We start from the raw sequence: 22,963 nt of genomic DNA, 5'->3' as shown, positions 1-22,963 counted from the left end.
GATCCCACAAATAAGTGAGAATATATGATGTTTGTCTTTCTGTGCCTGGCTTATTTCACTAACTATAATTATCTCCAGTTCCATCTATGTTGTTGCAAATGACAGAATCACATTCTTTTTATGCTGAATATTACTCCATTGTGTTTATGTACCACATTTTCATTATCCATCCATCTGTAGATGGACACTTAGGTTGTTTCCAAATCTTAGCTATTTGTAAACAGTGATGCAACAAACATAGGAGTGCAGATATCTATTTGATAAATTGATGTCCTTTCTTTCGGGTATATACCCAGCAGTGGGATTGCTGGATTTTATGGTAGCTCAATTTTTGCTTTTTTGAGGAACCTCCAAACTCTTCTCCATAGTGGTTGTGCTAACACCACTATGTACATTCCCACCAACAGTGTATGAGGTTCCCTTTTCTCCACATCCTTGCTAGCATTTGTTATTGCTAGTCTTTAAGAAAAAAACTCATTTTAACTGGGGTGAGATAATATCTCATCATAGTTTTGATTTACATTTCTCTGACGATCAATGATGTTGAGGACCTTTTCATATGACTGTTTGTCACTTATATGTCTTCTTTTGAGAAATGTCTATTCAAAATTTTTGCCCATTTTTGAATCAGATTATTAGATTTTTTCCTATAAAGTTGTTTGAGCTCCTTATATATTATGGTTATTAATCCCTTGTCAAATGGGTAGTTTGCAAATATTTTCTCTCATTCTGCATGTTGTCTCTTCACTTTGATGATTATATTCTTTGCTGTGCAGAAGTATTTTAACTTGATGTGATCCCCCAATTAATTTTTTAAACGATACCTTGCACCATTCAGATTAAAGGAATACCCAAGAAATATTGGTGTTACAATACAGAAATCTAGGTCTAAAACATCTCGCAAACAAAAGCTACCATGCTAGAACTTTTCCATAAAAGAGAAATACATTTGTTTGTAGTTTAAGCTACATTTCTGTTAACCACAGTTGAACCCATAGCCTAACTAATCTATTCTTGTCAGAAGAAATTGAAAGGCAGAAAATGTGTAATGCTTGAGGGAAACTTTACAGAAGTCTACCCACCTATGTATGAGCAGTGTTCACAGAGTACAGATAACTATGGCATAAGCTTCAGAAATATTGCAGAGTGTACATTTACATAGATGCATTCTAATACTACTTTATGAGTATTGTTTAGTGGACCATTTTGACTACAATATGGAAATGTAATCTGTTAACATTGGTATTTTTATATTCAGTGGAGCTGAGTGTACTGGACTCCTTCTCATGGGAGCCATAATTTGGACCAAGGAGACCCTGAACTGAATTCAACATTAGTCTTCATTACATTTCTGCAGCAGAAGAAACACTTACCTAAAGAAAAACAGACTCAGGTTAGTAAATGTTGTTTTCTGAGTTTAAACTTGTTCAGATTAATCAAAGAGAAATTCTTCTACTTTTTGGGATTTAGCGTTTGATGTCTTTACTGAATACATCTAAAATCAGTTTTTATTCCTCGGCACCTTTTGATCATACATTAAACAGTTCATTTAAATGGTACTGTGATTTACTACAGTATTCATAGATTAAATTATGTAAGGGAAATGCACTTTAATATAATCTGGAGCAGGAGATTGGATGCAGACATAGAAGAAAAAAGACTGGGCCATGTGTTGATATTGTTTGAATTTCAATAATGGGTGTTCATTTTATTTATTGCTCTTCTTTTGAATATGTTTGATGTTTTTCATAGTAAAAAGTTTACCGAATTACTTTTTTCATAGTATTATCTCCTTATATATATTTTAGTAAAAAAGTTAAACTCGTTTAATGACAGAGGGCAGTAATGTGATTTCAGAACATTTTTAAGCTGTTATTATGGGTTTTACTTTATGCAAAGACAATGTGGGTAATTTATAGTATGACTACTTCCTCTATGCTTCTACGCCAATACCATAACTTGAACCATCATTTCTTCAAACTCTTTTTGTTTATTTTTGTCCTCTTATTAGGAATGCTACAAGTCTTCTTACAAGTTGTAGATACTCAACATTGTTTAGAAAAGTCCGAAAAATCTCACTATTATGGGCCAGAATCAAACTTCAAGAGCTCCTGCAATAAAAGTAAATGCTGGAGTCAGAAGGGCAGGCCTAATGACAGCCTTCCCTGTGGAGCAGTTGTTCTATTATTCTTTGAAGAGATACAAGAAGGCAAATGGAAGGCTTTGAATAGGGCTATGCCTGTAGCTGAATCTGAAGATATGCATTGCAGTAAGAAGTAGGATGAAGATAATTATTCCCCAAACAATAGAAAAAATAGAGTATTGGCATATTTCTATTACTTGAGTTATTTGGCAAAATCAAGTAGTGGTTAAGGCTGAATAAGTTCTGAAGAAGAGGAAATGGTCTGTGAAGTTCAGTAAAATTACAATTTGCTCTCCCCCTCCCCATACCACATCCTTTAATAACCAAGAAATAAGCAAGTGAAAATAGCCACATTTGCTTGAGAGTTTATCTCTCACTCCCTCCTCCCTTACCTCCACCACTCCATCAAAATATGGTGGTAAAGACAGTGAAGTTGTTTCTGGACGGACTTTAGGAGGGCACAGAACAGGTCTCTATAAAACGCGAGGGCATTTGAAGCATAGGGCATGTCTGGTATCTATATCCCATTATTTTATTTAGGTTTACCAAAGCATCAAAAATTCTTCCTTGGGAAACCCTTCACCACTTCCTAGGAAAATATTTTTGCAACAGCCAAAATGTATAATTCCTAAAAATTTGGTTATTATAGAAGATATTTGGGGTCCTGAAAGTGCTAGGGATATAGGTAAGATGATGAGGGAGTTACTGAAATAGAAGAAAGAGAGCCAGGCTGAGGAAAGGGTCAGAGACAATTTTCCTGACTTCACCCTTTTTTTTTTTATTTAAGTGGATCTGTTTTGAGAAGAGCAGAGGGGGACAGTAGAAGATGAGTTTTTATTTTCCCCTGACAATCCAGAGAAAAAATCAGACTGCCACATCTTAACAACCCTTAAGACTAAGAAGAAAAGATTCTCTCTGTTCCATCATTACAAATATAGAGCTTTAAGTAGTTCTAATAAACTTGGTCCACAGTGAAGATGGGGAATAATTTTTAGCAGAATATGAATAGTAAAACGTCTATCTATGGACAGAGTGAGTGGCAAGAGTGGGGTAAATTTGGGGGTGTGGTTTGTCTTTCCTTTCGAGAATAGACTGCACCTCTCAAAGAGAGAAAAAGTGAGAATAGAGTCTTAGGGGACTTTTATCCATGCATGTGAGAACACTAAAAAAGATCATCAAGTCTATCGGTGTGTTGAAAGAAGTGACTAAGTACACATTGACTTCTGGAGGCAGAAAATTTCTATGTAATTACAAAGACAATCTTTATTATTAAAATGAATATTATAAGTTATAGCCATAAATAAATTCCAAGTGCAACATTTTCACAGTATCTTGGGAGTAAAATCAAAAGGTGACATAAAATGTAAGTTGCGCAAGAGTTCCACAGATGCACCCTCTCAGACCAAGGCAGCTTGGTCTGTTGCTCCTGGGGCAGATGGCTTCTCTTTGTGGAATTACCAGCTAACAGAATTGGCTGCTTAACTGAGTGACAATGAAAACATATAAACCATTTGAATATAATAATAATAACAATATTTTTACATAGAAATCACTACATACAAAGTTTTTCTTATTGGAATACTTACGCATTTTTGAATCAAAATTCAACAACTTTATATAGGAAATGTGGAATTATTTATCTTGAAGTATACATTACTATGGTTGAGGGTGTTTACTCTTTGCACCACAATTTCATAGAACCCAGAGAGTGATAAATGAGAAGTCTGGATAAGCCATGGAATGGAGAAGCTCAGAGAACAGGCTGCTGTCTGGATCGTAGCTGCACCAGTACTCCTAAATTAGTAAGCTACTAGTTTAGACTTTCCCCTGAAAATCAGGCCCAACGTAGGAAAGGAGAGAGGCAAAATGAAAAGAAGGTGAGCAGACATCTGAGAAACTGATAGCCATGTTCATGGATACATTTCTTAATTTCTTAAAAGTCAGCATTCCCATTATGGTAACCAAAGTAGGTGTTTGCTTACTGTATGCAATATGAAAGGCAGTGCTGTGGGACCCACTTTATCCAAAATTTCTTTCCCTCCAGTCTGTCTGCTTCAGTATGTATTAGCCCTCCATTGAAAGTCACCACTTTGGTTTAATGCCTAGTCCTAAAGCCTGGAATTCAGATATTCCTGGGTAAATTAATATGAACCTAACATTAGCTATTAGCACCATGGTGTGAATGAATTGATCAGGTTGCTGCCTGGGAGAGCAAGGGAATCAAGCAGAAGACAAAACATATTGATGGGATAAGGGGTGAATAAAGTAAATCAGAGCACTGAATACAAACGTAGATGGGCAGGCCTGGGGAAAAAGGGTGTCCTCAGCTAAGCAGCATAACACTGAATACTGGTCCTTTTTTGGAATGATGTAAATGGGCTGCCTAACAAATGGGCCCTACCCTCAACCATTCATCTAAGAAGGTCAAACATCTCCTGAAAATATTTCCCTTCCTCTTTAAGAAAAATATAGTCAAAGTGAAATCAATATGTTAATTAAATCAAATCAATCATCTTCCAAAGTGACCTTAGGAAGTGTAATTCATGCTAATCTAGAAAATACTAAGCACAAATACTATAGATAAGACTCTCACATTAAAAGTACCCACAGTTATTTCACAATTCCACAAAATTATTACTTGCAATCCTATTGCAACACTAAATTATAGTCAAACAAAAGACACTTTAAAGCAAAGAGACAAGACACAGTTATAGATGCCCTATTTAAAATACAGTTTAACACTTATTGAAAACTTATTTAACACATCAAAACATATACCTTACAATGATTAGTTAGGAGACACATAGATACACTTGCTAGCAGCACAAAGTCAGTTTTCTAATAGGGTATTATCTTAATAACAACATATGTGTAAAATCAACACTTGTCCAAAGAAAACTTTAGAAAACTTTCCATCAGTCTAGATATTAGAATTCATTTTGATGTCACCAGTTTTCCCCTAATGTATTAGTATCATAACTGTATGCCTAAAACAACCCCTTTCCTCTAAATATGATAAAGCCTTTGATTGGGTTCTACATTCCTTCTGTGAGACGTAGAAGGTATCTTCATTATATAGCACACAGATTTTAAGTAGAACTTTCTTAAAGTTAGAGCTTTTTGCTAAAACATGTTTCAAAATATTCTAATACTTACAACCTAAGGTTTAATTACGACTAATATCCTGGGTCTGTTTCCCACACAATAGTACCAAACAGGTAGTAGGCAAGTCATTGGCCATTGGTTGCCAAAGGCTGACCAAATTAATCTTCTATGCATTTTTCAAGAGGTGAAATAATTGCCTTCCCCAGCTGCTAAGAGCTAGGCTTTGTAGGCTTTAGAATGGTATGTCTGGGGCAAAGCTAGACCAAAAAAAATCAATGTGGATTCTAGGGTCCATGTGACTGACTGTAATATGTATGCAATGATGGGGCAGAGAGACTTACTCTGGCTTGTGTAAGTAACTTGGCAGTCTAAGCTAAGTAAGTGTCCTTGTATTAGAGTAAGAAATACAATGTGATGAGAATTTTAAAAAGATTACCCAACTTTGCTTCATCTTTTCACTCTGGCCCAGGTTTAATGATTCATTAGTGCACTACTTCTTCCACAGGCTCAGAAAGTGCAGGAACCTGTCAACATTACCTCAATGTATCTCTAGAAACATGATAAAAACTTCCTCTACTAGGCGGGTCCATACATCTCCAGAAGTGTTCTTTAGAAAAAGTGTAAGAGAGCAGAATTGTGATTGTCACCTTTCTGCTTTCTCCTAGGCCTAGAGCCCAATTGAGTCACCTTGTATGGACTTTGACAAACTACCTGTCCTAGGTAGATGCAACACGGCATCTTTTCCAGTCACAGAGGGTTGTCGTATGTAAATATGTATATTGTTCTTAGTTTAAATATGCCAGAGGCCTGAGTTCAGATTTTCATTCTGTGAACAGGTGTGACAAATGATGTTTCATGTTGACACAAAAATGAAGAAAATAGCTATTTTAATCTTCAAACTCTGAAGAGTAATCACACTTGAGAGATAAAAATGATCTTATGTTTACATTTTCTTTACACAGGGTAATATATCATCTATCCCACTAAAATATAACCAAACATATGAAAATGGCATGTAAACTGTGATTACTAATATAAAAAGACACTTACATTTCCTCTGAACATAAAGACTCAGTATCTGTTGCAACAAAACTAAATGTTTATGGTGACTCCAAGCTAATAATCTTTTTGTGCCTGAGGTTCACAGGTAAAAGTACTGACTACAGTTGAGTGCATATGTTTATAGGATGTCACAGAAATTTGATATTTTAAGATTTACAGACTTGAAGAAAAATTACTACATGGACATGTCAACATCAATAATCGTGGATCGTAATGCTCCAAATAGGTCCTGCTTTGAAGAAGTGAATTCCCCATAGCAGTAAGATAGAGCAGAACTGAAAAGCTGTGTTGTTTTGCAAGTTCTTCCCTGTGGCTTGGGTATTGCAGATATGTTCTGATGTACTTGCATTTCAGGTCACATTCAGTTTGGTTTTTTGTTTTAGCATAATTCAGGTGTCATGGTGGAAGCTGTATGGTTACTCACAAAGGATTTTGCATGGAGTTGGATGCTGTCATGCAAATCTTGTCTTGAAAGCCGTCTTCGGAACTCATTAGTGGAAAAGTAGTATATGACTGGGTCAAGACATGAATTCAGACTAGCAAGACACAATGCCACAGAATGAAATATTAGAATCACCCTTCTGGCTAGGCAGCTTTTAATTTCATTGGACTTCACCAGGAAATCTAAAGGAAAACTGAAATGATAAGGTGCAAAGCAAATTAGGAATACCCCTGCACAGGTTAGAATCATCTTCAAGGCTTTCTGTTTCTCTCCAAGATCTTGGGCCATGGGATATTTATCTTGCAGTGATAAAACCGTCTTCCAGGTACAATATAGGACAATCAGAAGCGGAGTTACAAACCCAATCAACTCGCCAATGGTCATCATAACAACGGACTGGGCCAGGTTGACATTCCTGGTAGGAAGATCCACAAAGCATTTGGTCCTATTGCCAGAGGTATCATCACTGGTTCTGAGGAGTGGAAAGAGTACACAGGCAAGGCAGATGATCAGCCAGCCAGCAATGCTGATGTACAGGTCATATTTCTGTTTGCAGTCATGGAAGCGAAAGGGGTACATGAGAAACCAAAATCGTCGCACACTGATGCAGACCAAGAAGTAGATGCTTGCATACATGTTGACATACTTCAGGTAGAAACAGAACATGCAGAGACCAGGCCCAAATGGCCAGTCATGATTCAAGTAGTAGAAGATCCTCAGTGGCAAGGAAAGAACTTGTAGTAAGTCAGCAATGGCTAAGTTTATCATAAATATCACAGCTCGTTTTGTTTCTTTCATATAACCATAGAATACCCACAGGGCTAATATATTCCCTATGAGACCTGGCACAAGAATGACAGTGTATGTCACTGCATAAATAAAGTATCGAAAATCTGTATTGTCTCCATCTGGCCTGGTACACGTGTAATTAGCAGGCATGATTCTCTCTAGAGAAACTATCTTTGCCTAATGGTGGTTCAAAACTAAATTCACAATCAACTGCTGTTCCTTCCAAAAGATTGATTGCCAGTGGGTTGGAGATACGAAGTATAAAATAACCTTCCTCTTTTTACCACATCTGTCTGAGTCTCTACGTATGATTTGGGGATTTTTCAAAGAATGATCTGCATTTTTGATTTAGATTTCTCTAGAGTAACTACATGGAAGTCTAGTGTACAAGCACAGATGACAAGCTGTTACAATTTCCCCTCTTGTTTATTTTAAGGCCCTCTGGGACATCATGAGAGCTTATTCTCTCCCATTTGGAAAAGGAATGTACCATATAGCAGTTCCTCAAATTCCTATATGACGATAGCCTTCTCTTTACAGGTGTCTGGCAGGCCGTTTTTCTTTTTTTGGCTCACATAGAAGAAAGGATTGCTTTAGTGCACAATGAGTCCGCCACTCTTCAGGGATGATTAACTTGGAAAGATCAGCTTTCTGGGACTTTTTCAGCTATAGGTCAAAAGCTAAAAAGTAGGAAACAAAGGCAGAGCTGCAAGCAAAAGAAAATAAGTCAATTATTTCCTGGCCCAGCTTTGAAAAAAAAAAAAAAGCCTGTGTTCAGAAAAATATTCTAGTTTGAATGAAAAAATTCTTAAGTAAGGGAAGGGTATATGCTGCAGTTTCTACAAGGCACTTTATAATCACAGAAAAACATAGCTTGAAAGAACATGAGAAGTAATCTAGCCCCTTGTTACTCAAAATTCATGAACGAATGACGCTTGGGAGCTTGTTACAAATTCAAAATCTCAGGCGTCACCCTGGACCTGATGCATCAAGATCTGCGTTTTAACAATGAACTCAGGTGATTCTTCTGCGTATTAACATTTGAGAAGCTATGATTTGGACTACTGCTTCACTAACATTACTGATTGTCTGAATCATCTGGGGAAGGTTAAAAATTAAAATACAAGCTTCTGGGTGTTTCCTCCAGAGATTCTGATTGAGTATTCATGGGGTACAGTATGCAATTTGTATCTTTTCAAAGCTCTCCATTTGGTTTTGAAATAGCCAGCCCAGCATTTGTCCTTGAACCATCATTTGATCCAAATCATTCCTATATGTCTAAAAATAAATGGACAACCAGCTTCTCTTTAAATAATCCCATTTACAGGAGTCATTTAGTCACCTCTTAGTTACCTGAGACAACAGATGTAGCACCAGAGCAGAGAATCAAAATCCATAGAAAGTTGACTCAGCTGGGTCTATGACCTTTATTCTGAGGTAAGTAAATTTTAGCTTAGGGGCCTGGATAGTTGCCTCAAGGCTGCTGAAATCTAGGAGGACTTAACTAACTTTAAAGATATGTGTGGGAAGAACAAAAATGAAATGGGAATTATGAAACATCCTGCTTTGAATGATCAAATCCATGTGGTTTGAAGTGTGCGTCATTGAGCCCCTGAACAAATTATTATTATTTTACTTCAATTTCATGGTAAGTGAAACAGCACGTTTTATTCAAAGATATGATACTCACTTTACTTAAAAGGCTTGATGAGTGATTCATAATATGCCTTTGGATTGAAGAGATTAAATACCCGAGATTTCTCAGGTAAGGAAGACATAGAAAGATAGTGTTATAAAAAACAGTGAAGCACAACTGTAAATAATACCACTTTTCTTTGAGATTGTCCTTTCACAAGAAAAAATCCATATTTTAACTGGGACTGAAACAGACTCCAATTTTAAATGAGACACTTATTGGAAGGAAATGCCAAGCTCCTTGGGCAGATTTTTTTTTTCCTCAGCATACTGTATTTCCTCAATTGTACTTACTTTCTTGGTACGAGGAAAAAAGTAGAGAGAAAGGGAATTGATTGCCTGAATTCAGCATGCTAATTTTTCAGCCATATGTAAGTGAGAAACTATTTCATATGGAGTTCTTATGGGAAGTTATTGTTTTTTATTTATGAATATGAATATGTTCATCCAAATCTGAAGCTTTACTTAGTTGTACTTATGTTTCAAAAGTATTTTCCAGCAATATTAGGTCTCTGGTTGCTTGTCCAGGTGAAGTCTCATTCAAAGGAATATTAGAAATGGCTTTCTGTATCATTTTGCTGAGACCTACTATATGCAAGCTTCATTATCTATGAAGATGGTAGTTGATAGCACCTTAAAACTTTCTCCCTTCAAAATGTGCACCTGGGTTTTAACTAAATAAAATGAAAGATTAAAAATACTAGATTATCAAATTACTTAATTCCTTTTTTTGGTGTTGTTCTTAAGAGACAGTCTTAAGAGACAAGACAGCTCTGTCTTATCTCCTGGGTTGGAGTGCAGATACACGATCCTAACTCACTGCAGCCTGGAACTCTTGGGCTCAAGCGATCCTCTCACCTCAGCCTCCCAAGTAGCTGGGACAACAGGTGCATACTACTGTGACAGCTAATCAAAAAAAAAAATTTGTAGAGATTGGGGTCTTGCTTTGTTGCCCAAATTGCTCTCCACCTCCTGGCTTTAAAAGATGCTCCTGTCTCAGCATCCCAAAGTGTTGGGATTGTGCCCAGCTTAAATTGCCTAATTTCTAATGGTGGTCTTTGAGACACTAATTGCAAGTAGAGATGCCATCTGGGGTGTGAAGCCCTGTCCAGAAACCATCCCATCACAGGTAATAAGCAACCACTTGCTCAAAATTCAACTTTATATTACAGTTCTGGTTAGGTGCACACTTTATTAAGCCCAGAAAAAGCAGACCTAGTGTGCTGCAAGTGACTGCAAATGTTGTTAAACTGAACAGCTGTGTGCACGTATATCAAAGGCAATTGTACCATTATGACACATGAGCAATCCCAAGTTCTGGACAGAAGAGAAAAGAACAATTTCTTCCTAATTCTGATCAGCACACAGGCAAATCTCAGGGCTTCATTTTTACTTTTGAAAATCTTCAAAGTAATAAAATGCTTTGAAAAGTATTTGCCTGGTTAGTTCCCCTAGGAAATTCACCAGTTTTGCCCTACTGAGTATTCTATCACTTTTTTTAAATAAATAAATTTTAAAGAGAGGCGCTCCTGGATGTCACTTTGAACCAGGCTCCCAATTTATCTTAGCTTCAACATCTTCTATGAGTTCCCTCAAAGGTCAATTTCATGAAGAGAGGAAACACATATGTGTAGACAGACAATGCAGTTATTGTGAACATTGCCTTTTTGCCAGGAAGTTATTTTACTTAGCTAAGTCTAAATTTCTCTACTGAGATCTGAAAGCAATTTCCTCTTAATCAGACTGCATTCTGTGTCTCTGCTCTGAGAAGTGCTCTTTTAATTACTTGGAGACAGCAGGAAGGTTGTCACTCAGTCTCACATCACCAGTCATATTGCCTTTTCTCAGATTTCTTAATTTGTGATCATTCCATATTGTGGAGAATAGGGCAAACCAATTGGTATTGAGGACCTCACGGGCTATTCAACCTGTACTGAAATTAACAAGACCTTTAGCTACTATTCGCTTCCCTGCCCCTACCACCCACTGGAAAAAAAAAAAAAGTTAGGCTGCATATTCTTACACTGCTTTTACCTCTCAGGGTCTATTTTTATTCTTCTCCTTTTACTTAGGCAGGGTTTCTCAAAATTTGGCGCCAGGGCTAATTGGAGTGCTTATTAAAAATGTGTATTCCCAGATGGACAACTGAATCTTATTTGTCAAAGAGTGGAGCCAAAGGATCTACATTTTAACAAGCATCACAGATAACCAAATTGGAGAGCCTTAAAATCTGAGAATCTTCACTGAGTGATAAAGGGCAATATCAAAACCAATTCAGTTATTTTGTTAAGCTACATAACCAAACTGAAGTTTTTGCAGGAATTCACTGTGTTTTCCTATCTTCATTGCCTGTGTTTTTGACTTTCTCTCTGCTTAAATTGTTCTATCCCATCTTTACCTGTTGAAATCCTGCCTGTCCTCCAAGGCCACTATCTTAAAATGCTGCCTTCTTCATGAGGTTTTTGTGATCTCTTGCCTAGTTGTGATTATACCTACCTGTGAACTCCCAAAGCAGTTTATTTGTGTCAGAAATATGTCCCTTTCTTATTCATTCCAGAAAATTGTGAGCAGCTTGCCAGCAAAGACAGTGTTTTCATGACCATTATAATCTTCCACCTCCAAAGTGCACAGTTACTTTGCATGTAGACGAAACTCAGTTAGATTCAACTAAGCTTAGGTGTAAGTTTAGATCTAAACCAGAGTCTAGTGTAGTAAGAAGAACCCTTTAGGCCGGGCGCAGTGGCTCACACCTGTAATCCCAGCACTTTAGGAGGCCAAGTCTGGCGGATCACGGGGTCAGGATTGAGACCATCCTGGCCAACATAGTGAAACCCCATCTCTACTAAAAATACAAAAGTTAGCTGGGTGTGGTGGCACACGCCTGTAATCCCAGCTACTTGGGACACTGAGGCAGGAGAATCGCTTGAACCCGGGAGGCAGAGATTTCAATGAGCCGAGATCGAGCCACTGCACTCCAGCCTGGCGACAGAGTGAGACGCGTCTCAAAAAAAAAAAAAAAAAAAAAAAAAAGAAAAAAGAAAAGAAAAAAAAGATCCCTTTAAGTTTATATATACTATGGTCTTTTGCAAACAATTTTATACAGCTCCATTTTGTTGACTACTGTTTAACTTGTGATTCATAGTGGTTTGCACACCTTGTTTATCTATACATGGTTAAAAGACTAGTGAAAATATTAAATCACTTTTGATGGATACTATAAAACACTGAGCAGACAGTTTAGGATTACATGTAGCCAAATATCTGGCTGGCTATCAGTGTCTTCTGTTTTTAGCACTCTAGGTGTGTGTACTCCAACTCTTAAGAGACAAGTCACAATTTTACAAAGTTCCATTTTACACATTAAATTTCAAATATTTCCACTTAGTAGAAGTGATGAGAAGATCACAAGTTAGTATGTTACAGTGGGAAAGCTGTATGTTTCCTGTTCTCGGTGCTGACAGGGCTGTGGGGATTTTCCTCCAGCTTTTCTGAATGTTCACCTTGTGTCTCAGAGAAAACATGAACATTTGGACAAGAAATAGGATTTTTTAAAGGAAAGTTATGGGCTTCCAAGCTTACATAAAATAAACTAAGGTCCAAGATAATCAGACCCTTCTGGCCCCTTTCACTTTTTTGCAGTCTTCTTGCAGTTTTCTCCTAGAGAGTGTGCCCTATCCACTACTCCACACGATTAATAGCCTGTGAAAAGGGAGGAGTAAACCAACCTTATGGGGTCTGGTAGAAAGACCAAGCATGGAATGGAAAATAAAACCAGTTATCAAGGCCTCACTCCAGGTTCTGGCCGGAATTGTTGGTATAGGTGGCTACTCTATATGGTGTGATTTTAAGGGACCGAAAATCCTTATTTTAAGAAGAAGGAAGGTAAATATTCTTTCCCACTTGGTTTGGGCCTAATTTCCTTTTTTCTTGAGGATAAGCCTTTTGTCCTATAGAGTTTAGGCTGCAAATGCCAGACTCACACCTTTAAAGATGGGGCCCAGGAACTTAAACTTGGCAAGCTTTCCCTGGAAATGTCAGTACTTCACACAAACTGAGAATTTCTGGAGCATATACAATACATCCCAGTAGATCCCAAAGCTTTTGCATCCTTGGCCTTTAAGCTCAGTTACTATATCAGCTTTTTTTTTTTTTTTTTGTCTTAGTGCTTCGTTGTATTCCTCCACGTTTACCCGTGCTTTACTTATATTTGGGAGCCATTTTCTTCACAATACATTGTCCAAAATCTATAGCATTTCATTTTAAATAGCAACAACAACAAAAATACGGAAGCCTCTAAGCAGACATTAGGGTTTTCAGAAACTTTGAGAAAGAATCCTAATGAAAATGATTTAAAATTTAAAAATTTAAATATTAAAATACAAGTAACAAAAACGAATTGTTGGCCTCTCAGTAATTACTCTAAAAAGCGCACATGGAGCTTTCAGTAATTACACAAAAAAATGCCCATGAAACATTTTATGTCTCAATAACTACACAATTAATTTAAAATACAGGTGTCTCATTCTTGCATTTTAAATGACAGACACTAGACTCTGTCCTTAGATTAAGTTTTGAGGGAGGTATGGGTGGGAGGTGCAAAACATTGATCACTATTATTCCAGATAATTGAAAATAAGCCTCCCCTAGTGGCACAGTTTTATCTTTTGCTAGACTTGTATTAATTTTCTGGATCTTCGTAGCATGTTGCCTCTGCTACTCCTACTAAACAGGATTCTGGTTCTTTATTTCTCAATTTTCTACCATTTTTCCTATGCCTTTACAGTGGATATCATCAATTAGGCAAGACTTTGGAAGAATTTATTTTATCCCTCAATTCAGAAAATAAGCCTCCATGGTCATTGAGCAGTAACGACATGCAAAGAACCAGTATTGTGGGCCTATATTTCTCCTTCCAGTAGCATAACCCTCCTGATTAGTAGAAACAAACCAAGCATTTTGGCAACTTGTGGCTCTCAGAAATATCCTTCCGGTTAGTGACACTGGAGTGTCATTAAAAATAAAGATGGCTGGACTCTTTAAGTAATCTTCCACCAGTGATGACAACTCTGTGTCTGGCACAAGCCACCTGGTTTTGGTGGAAGCAGAAAGTGACACATAATTTCTAATGCATCTCCTACATGGTCTTTTTCTTTTGTAAGCTACTACATTTGAGAACAGAGCTATAATTGTAAAATGTTAGAGTAGTAGGTGGTGCCTTGGAACTATCTCCAAAGGAAGGCATAGGGGTGTGGTGGGGGCGGGGAGAGATTCCTAGATTAACCTTAAAGGCTTGTGGCACATCTATTGTACCCATGATCCAGGTACCCAGGTAATGACATATTCATTTGGAGCTCAGTCTACTCTAAGTCTATAATAAGGATGCCCCAAGTATGAAATATCGAACATCAAATAATAATGTAGGTCCTCATCAGTACTGTTGTCACATTTTTCTCAGATGGCATCATATATATTGATTGGAAGAAAGTGGTGAAAACCATTCATATAGGGCCATTTCATATGGCTCCCTCTGTTCTTCCCACAATAATCTTTTAGGTACTAGATTCACAAAGAGCCACACATTTTGCTCTCCTGTACAAGATGTATAAAGTGCCCTAAAGGACAGCGGAGTTCATTCCAAGTCTTGCCTGAGATCATGTGAGGCCCTAGAGCTTAATGCATGGACAATATTTGAATGGAATGTTACATATTTGTGTTCACTGCATAATATTTTGTTACTAAATACATTTTCAGTAATTTACATTATTTGCAATATTTGGCTCATTTTTGGTGACTCCTTATTTCATAGGATAAAAAGTAACACAATTTGATATTGGGATCTAATGAAGGAGGACTAGCAGGTCAATGTCTGCTTTTGTTTTTTGGCCTTAAAAACAGAAATATATTATCCCTTCTTTTCTTGTAGTCTACAGTTTGAGTTACAAATCATCTAGGAAACTGAGAAAAATCCCTTCTTCCCGATCTTTCCAGATGTTCTTGCAGAAAGACTATGGACTTCCATTCTGGGTTAACTCAAAGGACATAGTGCTGTCTCCTACCTAAAATTAATAGACTAGTAAATATCCTGCTGGCAAAAGTAAACTTTCTGGACCTTTTCAGCATAATATCAGTAACACTCAGCAGTATTTCAGAAGGCAAAAACAAATTCATATTTTCTCTTTTTATAAAATTTTGACAATCGCCCTATTTCCTTTTTAATACGTTAAATAGAAAGACTTTCTTATTTTAGACTGACATATTTCTGCAGTTGCCTTTATCAGATAAAGGTTGAATTATCTTATTAAGTTGTGTAAAATCTTTCAAGTGTCCACACTGCAATGGCCTAAAAAACCTAATATTCTAAGCCTTGTTCTGCCTTCTAGCCTGATTTATTATTGCACCCTTTCAAGTGCCCTAGGCTTCCACCATGCCAGACTGTTCTAGCACACAGCATGTACCTCGATGTCTCTGTCTGACTTTAACTTGAACATCCTTATTTTCCAGCTTCCCAGCAACTCTTTCTCACCTTGATGGGTGGGAAAATTCCTAATAGGAGAATTTTGATTATCTAATTTCTTCCCATAAATCTTCCTTGAATCATTTACATTGGAATTGGCCCTTCTTCCTTTAAATTCCCATAGCATGTTGCATGTACCTGTGCCATAGCCTGATATGGTTCAATCTCTTTGATGGTATAGATAGTTGTCTACACAACCACTAGATTCTAATCTCTTTGAGAGTAGGGACACTGTCCTATTAATTTATGCATTCCTCGCAACAATTAGAATAGACTTTTACTAAATGTCCATTAGTAAATCTATAAGAAACACCTGCTAAACAGATACTACATCTGTCCTTGTATGTTTACAGAATCATTATTTTAAATTGTCCATTTCTGTATCATCTTTGCAGTAGAGCATTTAAAGGCCATTCAAGTTATAAAATCTAAAGGCATATTTAATAATTTTTAGCTATTGTTTTACTTATTTGATATTGGCCACTGAAAAACATTTACATTTGAAACTTTCAAAGACACTTTTTTTAAAACCTTTTTTTTAAACTGATAAATGCATTCAGATTTTTTTTCTTTACACCCTTGTCTCTCCTCTCCCCTCAAGCCTATCTGCCGGGAAATTTGCTCTTCCTTACTGGTCACCTGCCAATGGATAAAAATAGGTGCTTTGAACACTGCCCATTGAACTGATTAGGATTTCCTGCATGGTTTCCCCCAAATAATCACAATGTGTTCACTTAAGTGTTTGTGAAGCAAACTGAAATAACTTTAATAACAAGCAAAATAAACCACCCCCTTTGCAGCAACAATGACCCCTCTAGCTTCATGTCCATTTAACCTTTAAAAAAATCATCCAACTAGAAAATTACCATCTTTACCTGCAATCCATGAGCTAAGGCAGAGTACACAACTCAAAACACAGTCATTGCCTCATTTAAAAATCTCAACTCTTGTGGAAATACATTTATGCAGCCACATTGGATTACAATCAAAGAAAGTAAAAACGAAAGCAAGTCAGTTGAAGAAAAAGCATCACCTCCTCTCCACACACACGCACCAGAATGGAGTAGACCACACTTCTTTGTGGCAATGTAGTGCTATTTTTATTTTCCCTATCATAGCCTGCTGCCTTCATATGGCAGGAAATGACAAGTCCCTGCCCACCATAGCTAAAGGACTTGGCAAGTACCCAAAAATATGTTGAACAGACACTGGCCTCCAAAACTGCAGTTGAGAAAAAGTAATATTTTTAAATTAAATTTACCTGCTGGTTTGTTCCCTTTTATTTGTGCCATGGGCTAATTGTTTACCCCCTACATCATTATTTACTCAGAGAGTAAGGCTAGACTCCTGAACACCAGTGGCCCTATGGAATTAATTTGGGCTAGGGTGACTTTATATGTAAGTTAAGCATTGGCTTGCTATTTATTTATTTCTAACTTCCTTCCCTTAAATGTATGGTGTGAAAATCTAAACAGAGAAAGTATTTCTAAACCATAACTTATGACCATAAATAAAAGAATTGTTAATAAATGTTATTTGCAATTTTTTTTACGATTTTATTTCATTAGAGTGAAAACTAAGCAACTAGCCAATTCTTGAGATTGATTTAAATCAAGTTCAATGTATTTTTTGCCTGTTTTCTTTGTAAAATTTAAACAAGTGTTAGGGTAATGATGTTTACCTCTACGTCATGGCAAATAGCTTGAGTTCAGATGCCCCTTCGGTGTACCTACCAACCTAAGTATTTGTCAGGTGCAAAGAGATTAGAAACATAACTCTGACAGTTTGGAAAGCCAATTGTTTGTTTCAGCAATTATATCAGTAACAGTTTAATTACAAATATGCAATTTCTGGTTATTTTTATTTTAAAATGACCATCAAGTGGTTATGTACTTTCATCATTTGTTCTGTGATAGGCCTCTAGTCTACTTACCTACTTAACTATCTATTTATCTGTAATTTAGACAAGCTTTTCCAGATGGGATCAAGGAAGGTTAAAACAAATAGCTAGCAATCTTAAATGGAAATTTATCTAAAACTGAGACACTCCTATTGCCCTGCCCTTCCTAACATTAGGAACATCACTGATACCACCAATAGCTCAATGTTTCAACTCTGAAGTATTCTTTAATTCTTCCCTTCTCTCTTCACTGCCTTCTATTTAGACTTCTACTGAGTTTGTCTGACCTTCTCCGTAATATTATTCTGATTTAACTTGTGTTTTGCCTATTTTCTTGCTCTATTTACCTGAATTATTTAACTCTGAAAACCTCTGTAGGTATGCTATCATCACATTCCATATACCACACCAAGGTATACATCTTCATGAAATCTCTTTAGCCTGAGACAATGAGTAGTAATCTTCATTTGGAACCTCTAAATCTGAGAAAAGTTACCCAAGAAACACATCCTACACACCACACACACTTAGTACTTTCTATATTTCATAAGTGAGTTGAAACTTTTAGGACATGGGATTCCCCACAGTGATATTTTATTTAAATAATAAATTTATTAAAAAGCAAGAATCCAAATGAGTTTGTCTGTCCTAACTTGTCACTTTGAAGGTCTATATGTGTATTTCAATTTTTGGAATTCTCTTTTAGAATTACACTCAGAACATGCATCATGTTCTTTAGAATAATTTTACGGGTGACAAATCTTTGATTTTTAAGGGTAGATAAATTATTGGGAAACAATCAAAAGCCATTCATAGCCAGTCTGAACAGTGAAGTTAGAGATCAAGTAGAAAAAAAAGGCCTTTTTTTGTTCAAAAGCATGATATGATGACATTGTTTAAAGACTCATTTTTCTTGATCAGCTCAAACCCATTCCAAAGACAATTTCAAAGAGTATGAGAATATTTGGTGAAATACAGCATCATTAAGATAAGCATACAGCCTTGTGAGGTCACTTTCAAAATGATGACATTTATTTGAAAATATAAGTTGTGCTCTTTACTTAAATTAGTCATAGACTGAGAGTGAAAAGTCTTGAATTCTTGTTCTACCTCTGCAATTGAATGCCTGTGTGATCCTGAGAGAGTCACTTAATTTCTCTGGGTGCCCATTTCTTCTCTAAAATAAGCATGTTAAACCAGATAACTTTTAGAGGGAATTTTAGCTCTAATAATTTGTCACTTTACTTCTGAGTTTTAAATAGCCTTGGTTCTCCATGCCATATGCATTTATTCATATGTATGGGTATATAATATTAGATAATATCCAAATTTTTGATAAATAATAAGGCATGATTTATAGTAGGCAAAAAGAACATGGACTCTAGAGCCAGTCTTACTGGATTCAAATCTTGTCTCTGCCACTTCTTAGCTGTGAGGCTTTGGGCAGGTTATTTAAACATTTCTGTGCCTCAGTTGCCTCCTCTGTTAAGTGAGATGATAATAGTACCTACCTCTATGAATATTTAATGAGTTAATATTTATAAAGCTCTATAGTAAGTACTATATAAATATATAAAATAAACTAATTCTTAGCATTTTATGCAGTGGAAGATAACTGTGTGCATACACAAACGTTGTGGCCAAGGGCTGAATGCTATCTAATGTATCCAGGAAAAAATAATTTAATAAATTTTCATGAATATCTTTATACATCTATGAATAAATGTTTTGCTGTTTTGGTTTGTTTTGTTTTTTGTTTGGTAGTAGTAATGGTTGGGTCTCTCTCTTTTACTCTCTCTCTCTAACTAGACATCATACCTTGATTAGGAATTTTCATGTCTATTTATAAATGAAAATGCACTTGAATTTCCCCCAGTTAATTTGAATTTTGTATCATAACAGGATTGCAAAGATGAACCAGCAATCTCATCTGTTAATACCTCCAACAGAGGTATAGTACTTCATTTTAGCCAATAGATTGTTACTTTTTTCTATGTTTAATCTTTTAAAATTTTTCTGGGTACATAGTAAGCATACATATTTGTGGGATACATGAGATATTTTGATACAGGCATGCAGTATGAAATAAGCACATCATGGAGAATGGAGTTTCCATTCCCTTGAGCATTTATCCTTCAAGTTACAAACAATCTAGTTGCAGTCTTTACATTACTTTATAATGTACAATTAAGTTATTGACCATAGTCACCCTGCTGTGCTATCAAATAGTAGGTCTTATTCATTCTTTTTAACTGTTTTTTTTTTTTTTTACTCATTAACTTTTGACAATAGAAATATGCCACTGTCGGCTGGGTGCGGTGGCTCACACCTGTAATCCCAGCACTTGGGCAGGCTGAGGCAGGTGGATCACGAGGTCAAGAGATCGAGACCATCCTGGCCAACATGGTGAAACCCCATCTTTACTAAAAATACAAAAATTAGTCGGGTGTGGTGGCACATGCCTGTAGTCCCAGCTACTCAGGAGGCTGAGGCAGGAGAATCGTTTGAACCCGGGAGGTGGAGGTTGCAGTGAGCCGAGATTGCGTCACTGCACTCCAGCCTGGCGACAGAGCAAGACTCCATCTCAAAAAAAAAAAAAAGAAAAAGAAAGAAAGAAAAAGAAATATGCCACTGTCTGTGTAGGCTACCCTACCTAACATGAATCACTAACATATGAATGTTACAAAAAATATGGTTCAGACAGGTGCCTAATTTTTTATCCCTGTCTCATTGAGCTTTCAACTGTACTCATCCTGATTACGTCAGGGGAAAGGGCTCAAGTGGTCTTGAACAGAGGTTCATTTCCCTTTTATGAGAAAGTCTCACTAGAAAGAAAGACTGGGGTGGCCTAAAAGGTATAACAAAAAAAAAAAGAAAAGAAAACAAATGGGGTGGCTTTAATTTGGCTTCCAGATACCCAATAAACCCATATATTAGTTTGGTGCAAAAGTAATTGTGGTTTTTGCCATTCCCTATATTAACTGCAAAAACCACAATTACTTTTGCATCAAACTAATATTAAATACTTGGGTTACACATGAAGGGGATATGTGCGCTACAGGAGTTTTATTAGCTGGTAGAACTCTGACCTCCTGGTCCGAAGTATAACATAATGCTACAATGGTTGAGGTGTTTTTTTCCCCCATGTTTAGGTGAACTGTACAGTCATTTTGTTCATGATTTTTCAAACTAGGCTCAAGCACTAGACATGTTCCTTTACAATGAGTAGATATCAAGGCTTGTGCTTGGGCAACACACTTCTTCTAAAAACAGGCATCCAGACAAAGAACTAAAAAGTAAACAGAATAAACACTTGCTGCTCTGAATCTGCATCTTCCAAATCTGCCCCTAACCTGATACTTACCAATCAATAAATAGAAATTTGCCAAGCATTCAAGTGATTCACCTACGGCTACTGTAATTTTTCTTTTCCACAAACAGCATCACCTTTCTCAACATACACACATATTACAATATTGTATGCATGTAGAGTGGCCGGTGGGTGCTGGATGAGATTATATTACATAAAAGTTTAACATTGAAAGCATTTATTTAATCTGTGCATAGACTTGCTTTCAAAATGGGAATAAAGGCTGTGTACCCTAGTTTCCCAAATCCCCTTTTGAAGCTAAAAAGTAGGTCAAACAGCCCATAAAATTCAGCACCAGGACTAGTGTTAGATGAGTGAGGCACTTTCCTTGGACACAAAATTTAAGGGGTTGAAAAACAACTCAGTAATGAAGAGAAATAGTATTTCAATGCAGTATTTTTGAAATTGAAATGAATGGAAATATTCACAGTAAACAAAATGTCAAGATAGTAAATAAAGACAGGATCAGTATGACTGATTTTTTTTCTCTGTCTCAGGCAAAAAAGACTCAGCAGAGCACTATTGAAAAGAATGCCACATTTTATCAAATACTCCAGAAACTACAGCTTTTCGTGTTCTGTAAGATTGTATATCTTGATTGCTAAAACCAGGCTATTGCTTGGTAATCTATCAAGTAGACCAGCAAATGTGCAACAGGTGGGTAGCAAACGCTCTAATTGTCTGTACAGGGCCCACAGGGTAAAACAGTATTATTTTTAGGAAAGATGCAGAAATAGAAGTCAAGACTGTATTTGACTACCTGCTGTTTTCTTCGGTGCTGATGGAACTTCTTGATCAGAGCAATAGGGTCTCCTGAGGAAGTGTTGGAGAATCTGGCACGATTAATTCATTCATGCCTTGAAAAACATAGAAAAGCAGTGGTCAGGTGCAGCATGGAGAAGATGCTCAGAGATGGCTGGGAAATTTCAGCAAGTGGATGCTGAGATCCCAAAAATCAATTACCACAGGAAAAGGAGAGTATAGAGAGTTACACTTAGTCATTAGTGGTAGCGAAGTAGAGTGAGTGAGAATCTCTTTAGCATCTGACATCTCTTTTTGACATGGCAGCTTTCGGAAAGAGTGAGAGAAGGTAGGAATGTCGGTGGAAAAGTTCATGTGTCACTCCCTGGTCACAAGGAGCCCTTAACTATGGTGAACTATGTTAGAAAAATCCCACAGCCTCTTGTTAAACTCACAATACAGTTGAAGGGTAAAAGTTGTCTTTTTCTCAATTAGTGATCTTTTCTAAATAGTTGGCATGACCATAACTGTTTCATTGATTATTAAATACATATGGAGGGAGATCCAGCTGGCCAGTGGTTGTCAGCACAGCTCATGCTAGGAGACAAATTAATTTCTACACAAAGCTGCCTTACATGTACCCTTAAAATGCTTGTAGATAGTTTCTTATGTATGGTGATTTAGGGACACTAAAAACCATACCCCAGCTTCCTCTGCTCTGCTTTACCTAATGATCACTTGCCCAAGCTTGTCACCTTGCCAGAAATGTCCCATTATGGATTCAATCCTTTAAGAAACTATGTGTCCAGGAATCTACTGATAAAGTGAAAATACTACAAGAAGGGGTTACATATTAGCCTATTAACTGTAATCAATCAGCTAAGCTAGATTTTCCTTTAGAAAGTGGAAGAAATGAAATACAAAGAATACATTTTACTTGGTAGAATGAATTAAAGGAACATAGAGGGGGACAGCCTTAGGTGGGTAACATGGTAGGATTACCTGAGATGCCAGATCATAAGGGTTAGCAAAGGATTCTGCAAAGGGAAGGATAAGGCAGGAAAGACAGAGGGAAGGCATCCAATGAAATATTTTCCACCTACGCAAATTTGCTTCAAGCTAATCCTTTTAACACGATGATTTTTATTTAGAATGATAACTTTTGAAGGAATCCTTTGAAAGAGACTTGCGTTCTAATGCCA

The 22,963-nt window shown here is 36.7% G+C and overlaps 1 protein-coding gene and 1 pseudogene across 3 annotated transcripts in view, besides 1 other annotated feature; one reads left to right on the top strand and one right to left on the bottom strand.

Annotated features, from left to right (window-relative positions):
• CTHRC1P1 (collagen triple helix repeat containing 1 pseudogene 1) lies at positions 1,031–1,499 on the top strand (annotated as a pseudogene).
• GPR174 (G protein-coupled receptor 174) overlaps positions 3,381–22,963 on the bottom strand; it is a 30,631-nt gene continuing 11,048 nt past the window's right edge. For 2 of the 3 annotated variants that reach the window (NM_032553.3, XM_047442579.1), the window contains exons 2-3: positions 21,781–21,877; positions 3,381–8,247 (exon numbers count right to left, since the gene is read on the bottom strand). In NM_032553.3, the coding sequence (NP_115942.1) occupies positions 6,690–7,691 (1,002 nt within the window). In that variant the 5' untranslated portion in view covers positions 7,692–8,247; positions 21,781–21,877 and the 3' untranslated portion in view covers positions 3,381–6,689. The remainder of the gene's footprint in view (positions 8,248–21,780; positions 21,878–22,963) is intronic. The other variant, XM_047442580.1, reaches the window with a different exon arrangement.
• Positions 16,733–16,782: an enhancer, noted in NCBI's record as "active region_29789". NCBI's record gives its function as "activates an Ori minimal core promoter by ATAC-STARR-seq in GM12878 lymphoblastoid cells {active_cell/tissue: GM12878}" and the evidence as "EXISTENCE:reporter gene assay evidence [ECO:0000049][PMID:35858748]".

Source organism: Homo sapiens, chromosome X (assembly GCF_000001405.40).
Source record: "Homo sapiens chromosome X, GRCh38.p14 Primary Assembly".
NCBI lineage: Eukaryota > Metazoa > Chordata > Mammalia > Primates > Hominidae > Homo > Homo sapiens.
The sequence above is the reverse complement of the archived record's forward strand: the minus strand, read 5'-3'. Positions and strand labels throughout refer to the sequence as shown.